Below are 13,278 nucleotides of genomic sequence, written 5' to 3'. Positions count from 1 at the left end.
TCCAATAGTTCTTTCCCCAGTCTCTCGTAGTTTCATCCTTTGCATACAGATCTGTATTCAGCCAATATTTCAAGGCCCCTTTGCAGATCTTCAGAGCTCTATCTGAATTTTTTTCTCTTCACTGTTCCACTTCATAAATTCTGGTCAACTCAGATTCTCCAATCTCTGACCTAAACTCAGCAAGACCACAAGGCTCTGTTTGGAATCCCTCCTCCATCCCTGCTCTTGACCTGGAAAATGCCTCCAGGCAGGAAGCTGGGACAATGGTAGAGTTCATGTCATTTGTTTTCCCAATCATGATCCTAAACTCCTGGTAGAACAATATCTGAAAATAATTTTTCAGCCTGATTTGCCTTGTTTATAGCAAAATGTCAGTTCCTGTAGCTGTTGACTGCATGGGGAGAGGCAAAAATCATGTTCATTTTTCAGTTTATGCTCAACAGTTTTCCATGCAGATTTAAAAAAACACAAATTCAACAATTTTTTAAATATCACATTTCTCAATGGGACTCTAACATTTGCCATTATTTCTAAGAAACAAAAACAAATATTTAAATCTAAATTTTATTAAGAATATTTGATTTGGGCCAGGCACGGTGGCTCATGCCTGTAATCCCAGCACTTTGGGAGGTGGAGGTGGGAGGATCACCTGAGGTCGGGAGTTCGAGACCAGCCTGACCAACATGGAGAAACCCCGTCTCTACTAAAAAATACAAAATTAGTCGGGCATGGTGGCACGTGCCTTTAATCCCAGCTACTCGGGAGGCTGAGGCAGGAGAAACGCTTAAACTCGGAAGGCAGAGGTTGTGGTAAGCCAAGATCATGACATTGCACTCTAGCCTGGACAACAAGAGCAAAACTCTGTCTCAAAAAAAAAAAAAAAAAAGAATATTTGATTTTTGGCTGATTTTTGGCTGGGCGCCATGGCTCACACCTGTAATCCCAGCACTTTGTGGGGCCGAGGCGGGTGGATCACCTGAGGTCAGGAGTTTGAGACCAGCCTGGATAACATGGTGAAACCCCATCTCTGCTAAAAATACAAAACATTACCAGGTGTGGTGGGAGCTCTACTCAGGAGGCTGAGGCAGGAGAATCGCTTGAACTGTGAGGCACAGGTTGCAGTGAGCCAAGATACACCACTGCACTCCAGCCTGGGTGACAGAGAAAATCCATCTCAAAAAAAAAAAAAAATTGATTTTTCTATCCACTTTTACCCTCTAAATTGTTAAATTTCTTTTATATATATTTTTGTCTTCTAGTAATAGTAGTCATAAATTGGATGAAAGACTGATAGCTGTATTTTTCATTGCTAATCTGTAAGAAAATTTTAAGTAATTCTTCTCAGATGTTCATTATACGATAGTCAAAATACTTTATCAATTTCAAAATCCTTCACTTAATTTTTCTTTGGTTGAAGCTACAGTACTTCAAATTATTGCTATTTGAGAGTATAAGAAACTGAGCAGAAAATCTTTAAAAAGGAGGTAATTTTTGGCAGTCTCATTGTATTTATGAGGTAAATAATAATATTTGGGACCCACCAAGGTGAAGGAGCCCTGGCAAACAGTCTAAGCTTTCAGATGGTAACCATGGTAGGCTATGTCTTAGAGACCAGAGTGAACTAGAGGTAGAAGGAGCCTTACCAAGATTACTACAAGCCTTGTGATATCATTCCCTTAGAAGATTAGGTAATCAGATCCTACTCTATTTGGCAAGCAGAGGATTAGCCTTGTCTTATGGCAAGATATCACTTACAGCCTCAACAATTTTTCAGAAACTATCAAGCATGCCAAAAAAAAAACCAGAGACTGACAGAAAAACAATAGAAACAGATGCACAGGTGATCCAAACACTTGAGTTAAAACAAGAGCATTAAAACAACCATGATTAATAATTTTAAAAATATGGAAGTAGGAGCAAACAGTTAAAAAAGATAGAGCATTCATCAGAAAAGCATATAGTCTATGAAAAAAACTACACTGAAATTAAGTACAGTCAGTTCATATAAAGACACCATTAGGGAAACAACATGACTTTGGGTCAGGAAAGATATTTATAATAAATGTATCTGTCAAAAAAATTGAAAAGACAAAGCAAAAATCTTCATAAAAGAAGATATCCAAATGGCTAACATGCAAATTTGCTTAATTTTCATTATTAGAAGGAAATACAAATTAAAACCACAATGTGATGCTATACACCAGTATGGCTAAAAAGAAAGAGATACCACCAAGAGTTGGCAAGGATACGCAGTAATAAAAATCTCATGTACTTATAGTGGGAGTATAACTTGGTACAACTTCTTTGGTAAACTGGTTGGTGGTATCAGACCTCAAGATACGCATACCTTATGACCTAGCAATTCCACTTCTAGGCATATGTCCAACAGAAGTGTATATATGTACATTCACCAAAAGACATGTAAAAGAATGTTCACAGCAGCACCATTTATATTTTCCCCAATCTGCAAACAATCAAAATGGCAATGAACTGAACTAAACAGATTAATTGTAGCACATTCATATGATAGATATAATTGTGGCATATTCATATGATATTATATAGCAATGAATAAACTGCTGAATAGCAACAGCACGGATGGGTATCATGACACATAATGTGGGATGAAAGAAGACATAAAAGAGCTCACTGAGTATGATTCCATTTCTATAAAGGCAAAAATAAAGCAAAAACAATTTATGGTGTTAGAAGACTGATGACTAGGAGAACAGGCATGAGGCAGGCTGGATGCCATTGGTGTTTCTTAATCTGGGTCATCTGTCACTCTGTGAAAATTCATCAGGCTAACATACTGTTCATGTAGCTTTTAGTAGATATTACATGTCAACTATATTTTAAAAATTATGTCTGTATATAAAGCTGTTAATGCTTATCTTGAGAAATCCATTTGTAAAATGGCAAACTTATGGTCTAACGGGAATTCCACTAGATTTTAATGTAATGATATGAAACTTTCATGAAACTATTCAACTAACTGCTACCAATGAAAGCTCTTTTTTGTTTTTGGGCCGGAGTCTCGTTCTGTTGCCCAGGCTGGAGTGCAGTGGTGCAATCTCGGATGACGCCAACCTCCACCTCCCAGGTTCAAGCAATTCTCCTGCCTCAGCCTCCTGAGTAGCTGGGACTACAGGTGCACACCACTACGCCCAGCTAATTTTCTGTGTTTTTAGTAGAGATGGGGTTTCACCGTGTTGCCCAGGCTGGTGTCAAATTCCTGACCTCAGGAGCCTCGGCCTCCCAAAGTGCTGGGATTACAGGCGTGAGTCACTGTGCCCGGCCCAGCTCTTTTTTAATGAACCACATCTGGGAGGGAAACTGAGGAAACTGATAATTTTTATGGAAGCCTGAGTGTGACTAACATATGTTATCTACTTGTAGTTTACCTTGGAGAAACATTTCTATGTCTAAAATTAGTAATTCATTTCTCTAGGCATTGTTATTATGTAGTAGGTAAGAGCATAGTTTCTGGAGACAGAATGTTTAGATCCAAATCCAGCCTCTGCCATTTACTACTTGAGTGTTTTGGGGCAAGAAACTCTGCTTTGGTTTCCTCATCTGTAAAAGAGGGATACATTTATTATTAGGATTAAATAAATTTTAATAATGAGTAGGATGGACAGGCGTGGTGGCTCACGCCTGTAATTCCACCACTTTGGGAGGCTGAGGCAGGTGGATCACCTGAGGTGACGAGTTTGAGAGCAGCCTGACTAACATGGCGAAACCCCTTCTCTACTAAAAACACAAAATTAGCTGGGCGTGGCAACACATGCCTGTAATCCCAGCTATTCAGGAGGCTGAGGCGGAAGAATCACCTAAACCCAGGAGGGGAAAGGTTGCAGTGAGCTGAGATCGTGCCGTTGCACTCCAGCCTGGATAACAAGAGCGAAACTCCGTCTTCCAAACAACAACATCAACAACAGCAGCAACAAAAGAATGAGTAGGGAGCAACACATGCAAAATAGTAGTAACTTTCTTAAGATACTGTGGCTAGTAACTCCTTCCTGTCCCCCTTTCCATCTCTGTAAACATTTCCTTATCACACGAAATTCAATGCAAGATTTTTTTAGGCAGGATTAATATTTTATTCAATCAGTATTGGTGAAATGGTCTACTCTTGGGTGCCTTAGACCCTGATGCTTACTCTTTGGAAGTAATTGCACATAAAGGCATTTCCTTCCAACTTAAGCAAGTTTAATTTTTGTCATGTGTTTTGGGCCATAAACTTTCTCTTCTATGAGCTTCTGCAGCTCAGTTGTTATTGCCTTTCCCATTTCCTCCTGATTTTAAAAACAGAAATGCTTAAACTTCTAAATCTAGCCATACTATAGACACGGACAACAGTGGCACTAATTCCTTCAATACCTGTGGCATGAGAAAAAACAATTATAAAATCTCCTGGTTTTCTCTAGAGCCAGGATAACAACAGGGAACAATATATTTCTTTTTTCCTTTGTAAGGGTTCCTTTATTTCTTAAATGTTTTTAAACATTTAAAAATAGATAATGTATACAAAAGTACATGAAGGACAGGTAGAACAGCCATGATGGAGCCCCACACTTGAGCAATTTGAAAAATTGGGGAAAAAAATATCTAAATATCTATTTGAAGACATTAGAAAGCTGTGGTGGCAGCCATAACTTGAGAGACCAATAACTAGAGAGACCAAGATCCAAGAGAAGTGAGCTGGACGCTTGGCCAGTGTTCTTCTCTCAAGGCATTTGTCAACCCAGCCACACAGGATGCTATGAAAGCAAGCAAAAACTGACTGAAATCACAGAGGGCTGGTATTGAGGAGCCAAGAACTGGAATATAAGACCAGCAATAGGAGGGGTGCCACAATCCATATCCCAGGCAAGAGGGCTGTAACACAAGAATGGGGGAAAATAAGAAATCACTGTCTTATAAAATCTGTAGATCAGCCTCAGTTCTGCTCAAGTTCTGAATAGATTGAAATATTGTATTGTATCTCTATTGCCATGTAATAATTTACCCCAAAACATAATGGCCTAAAAATCCAAACATTCATTATCTCAGTTCCTGTGGGTAAATAAGTAGGAAGTCGTGTAGTTCAGGAGTTCTACCTCACGTTTTCTCATGAGGTTGCAGTCAGGATGTTGGCAGGTGCTGTAGTCACCAAAGGTCTGACCAGGGCTGGGGGTCAGAGCCTAAAACGGCTTGTTCACATAGCTATTAGCAGGATGCCTCACCATGTAGAGCTCTGCATAGATTGCTTGATGTTCTTATGACATGACAGTTAACTTGCTCCAGAGCAAGTCATCTAAGGGAAAGCAAGGAAGCTAATGTCTTTTATGACCTACAAAAATAATGTCACTTGTGCCATATTCTATTCATTAGAAGTGAGTCACTAAGTATAGTCCAAGATGGAAATTAGGCTTCACATTTTAAAGGAGGGGTATCGAAAATTTGTGGACATATTTAAAATCCATCACAGGTGCTGTGTCTCTCTGCTGCTTTCCAGAGTACAGAGTGAATCTAGTCTGGTGGAAGACATCATTTAGAGCCTTTACAGTTTCCAATATACAATATCCAGTAATCAAACACAAAATTAGCAACTGTCCTAACAAATAGGACAAAGATGTAAAACAGCAAACACAAATAGAGTTCAAAGTGACCCAGATAGGAGAGTCATCAGAAATAGATCTGAAAATCTTAGTGACTAAAATGTACAACGCTTGGATGGCAAGGTAAAGAATTTCACCAAAGAACATGAATTTGTAAAAAATAACCAAGAACTGAAAAATATACAAATTGAAATTAAGAATACATGGGTTTAATAGCTACTTGGATCCAATAAAAGAAAGGATTAATAAGCTGGAACACAACACAGGTTAGTTGAAAATATCCAGACAAAAGTATCTAGAGCAAAACAGATGGAGTATATAGAAAAGCACATAATTAGAAACCAGTAAGACAGAAGACATAGAATGCTCCAGAAGCAATATCTGAAGCAATAATGTCAAGAATTTTCCCAAGATAATGAAAGGTATCAAGCCATAGATTCAAGAAGGGCCACAAGCCCCCATCAGTATAAATTTAAAAGGCTAAGTATACTACCACCACCCCACCACCTAACATCTTATAGTATATTGATGAAAACCAAAGTAGAGGATCTTAAAAGCAGCTAGAGACTTATCTTTGAAAAAGCAAAAATAAAACAAATGTTAAAACATTTCAACAGAAATAGAAGTCAGAAAGCAATGTGATGAAAATGAAAGTGCTGAAAGAAAAATAACTGCCAACCTCTAATTCTATACCCAAGTTAAAATACCCTTCAAAATTAAGACAAAATGAAGTCATTTCCGGATAAAAACTGATGGCATTTTTCCTAAGCAAAACTAAAAGCAAAAGAAATAATAAATGGAGATCTTCTTGTGGAAAAAAAAATGAGCCCAGATGGAAAGATGAAACTACAGGAAGAAATGAGCAAGAGAAAACATAAATATGTGGGTAACTCGAAATAAAAAATGATGGTACATAGTAGTCATCCTCTAGGACTTAATGTAAAATCGAAACGCACAAAAACACATAAGATGGGGAAAACAGTAAACAAAGCTAAAGTATTCTAAGATCAAGCATTGTCTATAAAATAGCAGAAGTACTATTCCGAGTAAAGAATACATATCATTATCTTAGAATAACTTCTAAAGGAATAATGAAAACGGTAAAATTAACAAAGTAATGGGGAATGGAAAAAAGATTAATTCAAAAGATGGCTATAACAGAGAGACAGATACATATGAGGAAAAGGACCATAAAACAGGGCAAACAGAAAACAGGTAGTAAGATTGTAATTATAAATCCACACACATCAGTCAGATTACACTAAGCATAAATCATTTTTCTGATTAAAAGATAATTATTTTCAGATTATATTAAAATATATTTTCCATTAAATAAATACAATGCCAGTGCCCATGCAGCCATATTCAGGTAAGTAAATTTTAAATTATCAGCACTTCAGAAATCCATATGCTTCTATCCTATATCATAAACTTCCTCACCATAAATGGCATATGTGGTACTAATCTCCTTGTTTTACTCTTTAGATTTACTATCCAGCTTAGAATCCCTGAATCATGCACTTTGTTTTATGGCTATTTTTGAACTTCATTTAAATGGAATCATATGAGTCTTTTGTGTCTGCTTTCCAATCATACGTTGTGGGAATAATCCATACTGTTGCATGTGACTGCAGTTCCTTCATTTTCATTCATTTGCAACATTCCACCGTATAGATTTAGGGTAATTTCTTTTTCAACTGTAGATGGACACTTTTTCCTTTCAGTTTTTGGCCATTATAAAAAATGCTGCTAATAAACATTCCTAAACATATATTCTATGGCATATCAACATGCAATAGATATACCTCTAACTAGGATATATCAAGAGCTGGGACTGCTAGGTCAAAGGATATTCATATCTTTGATATTTCCAGATAATGCCAATTTTCTTTAGAGTACTATACCAATTTACTCACGCAACAAAACATTAAATACTACTCCCTTTATTTCAAAACTTCACCAATACCCAGTAGTCAGATTTTTAAATGTATTTTTTCCTTACCTGATATGAAATGATATCTCATTGTGGTTTTAATTTGCATTTCCCTGATTACTAATGAAGATAAACACCTTTTCATATGTATATTGGCCATTTCGAACTCCTCTTTTGTGAAGTGGATGCACAAGTCTTTTGCCCATTTTTCTTTTGTATTATTTGGCTTTTACTCATTGACTTGTTGAAGTTCTTTATATATATTCTGCGTTACTAGTCCTCTACAGGTTATATGTGCTGCGATTATCTTCTCCAACTCGGATGGCCTGTCTTCTCACTATCTTTATAGTGCCTTTTGAGAAACGAAGTTTCTAATTTCAATGTGGTAAAATTAATCAATTTTTCTTTTATGGCAACGGCATTTATGTCTTAAGAAAACATTCCCTATCCAAGTTCATGAAGACATTATATATTCTAAAAGCTTTATAATTTCCTTTAGATATTTTTAGTTCCTTAATCCATATGAGTTTTTTTGTATAGCTTTACAAAGGAGTCCAATTTCATATTTCCCCCAACATAAACAGCAAACAAGATGGTACCATTTACTAAAAGTCAATCATTTCCCAAATGACTGACTGCCACGCAATCTCCATCACATATCACATATACATACATACATGGGTTTCCGGACTCTCTACTGTTACACTGGTCTATTTGTCCAGCGCATGCCAATCTCATGCTATGCTATTACTGTAGCTTTGTAATATCCTAACGTCTGATGGCAAATTCCTTCCATTTTGTTTCACTAATTAAAGAGTATCTTGACCTCTGAACCCATTGCATTTTAGAATCACGTCATAAAGTTCTATAAAATTACACACTGAGATACTGACTGAAGTTGTACTCTATAAATATAATACTCCTTTGTCCACACCATATATCTTTTTAATTGATTTTTCTTTAATATCTAACGTTTTACATTTTCTTCAGCTATTGTTTCTCTTATTAAATGTATTCCTAGGTACTTGATATGTTTTGGGGCTTCTATAATGGTGTTACAGCTTTTCCAAAATTTTATTTCCTGATTGTTTCTATCTTGTATTCTAAACAGGAATACGAAAGATTTCTTAGATATTTGAATTCAGCAATCTTGTTTTACTCTTATTAATTTTAATAATTAATCTCTAGGTTTCACTAGATTTCATACACACACCCCCCAATCACCCCAAAATAGTAATAATATTGTTCCTTCTTTACTATACTTTGTATTTTTCCTTTTCCCCCGATTTTTTGGCATTCTTGCATTAGCTAAGGCATCCAGTATGTTATATAAAATGGTGACAGCAGGCATCTTTCTTTTGTATCTCCAAGGAACACCTCCAATGTTTTACCATCAGATTTGTCTTAGGGATTCTGTAGATAATTTTTGTCAGATTAAAGAAGTTACCTCTATTCTGAGTTTGCCACGAATTTATTTTAATCATAAATGGGTATTTTATCAAGTCCTGCATCTATAGTGAGTTGTGAGTTGATAATGGTTTTTCTCCAGGCAAATCACATTAGTGTATTTATTTTATTTTTTGAGATAGAGTCTTGCTCTGTCACCCAGGCTGGAGTACAGTGGCGTGATCTCAGCTCACTGCAGCCTCTGCCTCCCGGGTTCAAGCAATTCTCCTGTGTCAGCCTCCCGAGTAGCTGGAATTACAGGCATGCACCACCATGCCCAGCTAATTTTGTATTTTTTTTTTTTTTTTTCTTTTTGAGATGGAGTCTCGCTCTGTCGCCCAGGCTGGAGCACAGTGGTGTGATACCGGCTCACTGCAAGCTCCGCCTCCCAGGTTCAAGCCATTCTCCTGCCTCAGCCTCCTGAGTAGCTGGGAGTACAGGCACCCGCCACCATGCCCGGCTAATTTTTTATATTTTTAGTAGAGACGGCGTTTCACCATGTTAGCCAGGATGGTCTTCATCTCCTGACCTCGTGATCCACCCACCTAGGCCTCCGAAAGTGCTGGGATGGAAGGCGTGAGCCACCGCACCGGGCCTAATTTTGTATTTTTAGCAGAGACAGGGTTTCTCCATGTTGGTCAGGCTAGTCTCGAACTCCCGACCTCAGGTGATCTGCCCGCCTCGGCCTCCCAAAGAGCTGGGATTACAGGCATGAGCCACCGTGCCTGGCCAATTTTTGTATTATTATTATTATTTTTTAGTAGAGATGGAGTTTTACCATGTTGGTCAGGCTGGTCTCAAACTCCTGACCTCAAGTGATCCACCTGCCTCAGCCTCCCAAACTGCTGGGATTACAGGCGTGAGCCACCGCGCCCAGCCACATTAATTGATGTTTAATTGTTAAACGAAGGTTCCCTGAGTCAAACTCAACTTTTGTAGACTATTAAACTTGGTTTACTAGTTATCTTGTTTAGGACGGCTGCATCTATTTTGTGGTTTAAAGCAGGCTGTAATTTTCCATTTCTGTAAAATTTAAAAATTGATTTTATAATACTATTAGGGTTATGCTAGTCTCATAAAATGAGCTGAAGAACATTCCCTTTTTTTCTATTCTTTGGAAGAGTTTGCTTCAAGCTGGTGTTATTTCTTGCTTAAATATTTTATAAAACTCACCATTAAAGCCATCAGAATCAAGTTACACATTTGTTACACCTATCCGCACATTCACCATGGGCTGAGAGTGCTGCCTTAAACAGTTTTATAAATCGCAGGGTTCTTCCTTCAGAATAGAACATGAGATAGATTTGTTCATATAAAAGACACAAACCATGGCTAAATTGGATATATTTTTCTATGAAGTGCTATTTTAATGGTGTCTTTTTCACTTCCATCACTAGCACTTTTTATTTTTTGTTACTTCATGAGTTTTAGCACATGCATCAATAAGGGGTCACACTACAAAGTGTCACTGAAATGTAGCTCTTGCCTTCATCAACTAAATGCCTCCTTCACAGCAGCTTCCTGGCTTAAAACTAAAATGTGGGCCCAATATTACAGAATATTAGGGCATCTCCTGAAGGGTCACAACTGCATGTGAAATCCCCCAAAACAAACATAAATGGTTTAGATCTGTAATGCTTCTCCTTTGCTTTAGAGCCTCCTTGTGTACGCATAGTTATCTGTGGGAAAGGGTGTTCTTCAAACAATGGCCATCATTTAATCTACTTATTTTTGATTGTATGTTTTCCTCTTTTTAAAAACTCAAGTATAGGGCCAGGCGCAGTGGCTCATGCCTGTAATCCCAGCACTCTGGGAGGCCGAGGCAGACAGATTGCCTGAGCCCAGGAATTCCAGACCAGCCTGGGCAACATGGTGAAGCCCTGCCTCTACAAAAAATATAAAAAATTAGCCCAGCATGGTGATTGCACACCTGTAGTCCCAGTTACTTGGGAGGCTGAGGTGGAAGATCACTTGAGCCCAGGAAGGAGGTCGAGGCTGCAGTGAGCCGTGACTGTACCACTATACTCCAGCCTGGACAACAAAGTGAGACCCTATCTCAAAAAACACCAGAAAACCCAAAAACCAAAAAAAAACCCCCACAACTGAAGTATAATATGTAAAAGTAAAACTATAGGACATTTTAAGAGTGAATGTTAAGAATAATCAATATTACAAAGATCCAAAACTGTGATGAAGAAAAAATTCATTATTATAGATTTAGATAAATTTATGCATTTTTGCAGAAACACCTACCTTTCAGAAACAGACTTATTTTGATCTGATGACAAATTAATTTTTTTACTTCCTTTTTCGGAAGGGTTAGAAGGCTCATAATTCACAGAAGACTTTTCAATTGGACTATTAACTGACTCAAGATTCTTATCCAAAATCATAGCCTCTGAATTTGCAACCTATTAAATAGGTGAGAAAAAAGCAGTTGAAGGGAATTTTACCAATTGTATCCTTCCAAACAAAATTAGCATTTTCAAAGTATTCTTGCATACATATGGCAAAACATAAGTTAAATCACATGTATTTCGATGGCTGATGACCATGATTGTGATTTGCCTGCCAAAATGAATTTTTAAAAACTCCGAAGAAATAAAAATGATGGTATACATCAACTTCCTAGCTTGGATGGAAAGAAGGAAAAACAAATGTTCAGGTACTTAGACAACACTTTATTCCTATTAGACTAACTTTTAGGAACTAATAAACACTATATTTAAGAAAATTTTACTTTTGTTATACTTTTAATAAAGACTAGAAATAACTCAGATTGCTAACTTGCTCTTCCAATTGTTGAGTTTATTTAAAACTTGAAGCTGAAACATTCAGTGTTCTCAGCTTTGGTTGAGAACTTGCAGCATTTTATATATATGTAAATATATATGTACATTAATTCAAAAGGATCAAGGACAGCATGAACAAAAATGCACTAGGTGCCATGGAAGCTGGGCACCCATCTGTTGCCCCAAACCTGTAGCAGTGGTGGCTAACCCCCCAATTCCATACTGGTAGGATTAGGGGGCCCAATTCACCACAGCAGCACTATCAGTTGGGTGCTCATCTGACATCTGGGGCAATGGCAGGCCCAATCCATTGCAGTGGTAGTGACCATAGGCCAACTTTTCCTGAATTTCCCACCCAATGGCACTGGGGATTGAGGTGGCACCGGCAGGGGCTAAATGGGAGACCCAGTGGAGCCAGAAGAATGAAGCTAAGCAGTATGGCACTGTAAGAGCTCTGAAAAGTAAACTGTCATTGAAACTGCAGCTTAAAAGAAGAGGCCAGGATCTACACACTAAACCTAAACAGGGGAACTTCCTGCTGAAAGGGAGTCCTATGCTTAGTGTTTTCAAAGAGCCCTCCCTGTGACTGGATACTGAGACATTTGATCCTTCCAAGGCACTAGCAAAAGGGTGTCCAGCCAAAATCTTGACTTTCTCTCCGGGGCATACTCTTCTGATAGTGAGCCTCTTAGAGTCTTCTGCAATCTGGTCAGGCTGAGAATTGCCTAAATCATTAAGTCCTGGTTCCTTTCTGCTAAACAGTTTGTTTCTTCTTCAATTTTTCTCTTTTTTTTTCTCACATTGTGAAAAGAAGCAAGAGGAAATCAGGCCAAACCTTCAACACTTTGCTTAGAAACCTCATACACCCCGGTAATCCCAGCTACTCAGGAGGCTAAGGCACGAGAATTGATTGAACCCAGGAGGCGGATGTTGCAGTGAGCCGAGATTGTGTCACTGCACTCCAGCCTGGGCAACAGAGCCAGACTTTGACTCCAAAAAATAAAAAAAGAAATAAAATCTCATAAGTCAAACAAAATCCAAATTCATAGTTTACAAGTTGTTTTCCATATAATGTAGGATACAATGCAACTAAACTTCCTGCCACTACGTAACACAAATCCCCTTTCCTCCTGTTTCCAATAACATGTATCCTCATTTCCTTTCAAGTCCTCACCAACAATGCTTTTAATGTCTATATTTCTATCAAAAGTTTGTTTATGAAGATCTAGGTATTAAGTCCATGGTAGGTTTTCTCCACTGTGCTCATTTCCTTTTAACCTCCACGGGCAGTCTTTAACTTCCAAATTTCTACTAAGAGTCTGTTCAAGGTAATCTAGGCTTTTTATAAAGCATGCTCCTCAAAACTCCTCTAGTCTCTATGCATTACCCTACTCAAAAGCCACTTTCACATTTTTAGGTATTGGTTACAGCAGCACCCCACACTTCCTGGTACCAAATTCTTTGTGAATTTCCTGAAGTTACCTTAACAAATTACCACAAACTG

The 13,278-nt window shown here is 37.9% G+C and overlaps 1 protein-coding gene across 15 annotated transcripts in view; it reads right to left on the bottom strand.

The window, feature by feature from the left end:
* ATF7IP2 (activating transcription factor 7 interacting protein 2) overlaps positions 1–13,278 on the bottom strand; it is a 97,578-nt gene that overhangs the window by 14,874 nt on the left and 69,426 nt on the right. For 12 of the 15 annotated variants that reach the window (XR_007064920.1, NM_001393719.1, NM_001352120.2 and 9 more), the window contains one exon: positions 11,236–11,393. The exons of the other annotated variants lie outside the window; for them this stretch is intronic. Coding sequence is in view for 11 of the 12 variants with exons in the window: in NM_001393719.1 (NP_001380648.1) it covers positions 11,236–11,393 (158 nt within the window). In the remaining variant the exon portion in view is untranslated. The remainder of the gene's footprint in view (positions 1–11,235; positions 11,394–13,278) is intronic. 15 annotated transcript variants of the gene reach the window in all.

Source organism: Homo sapiens, chromosome 16 (assembly GCF_000001405.40).
Source record: "Homo sapiens chromosome 16, GRCh38.p14 Primary Assembly".
Lineage (NCBI taxonomy): Eukaryota > Metazoa > Chordata > Mammalia > Primates > Hominidae > Homo > Homo sapiens.
The sequence above is the reverse complement of the archived record's forward strand: the minus strand, read 5'-3'. Positions and strand labels throughout refer to the sequence as shown.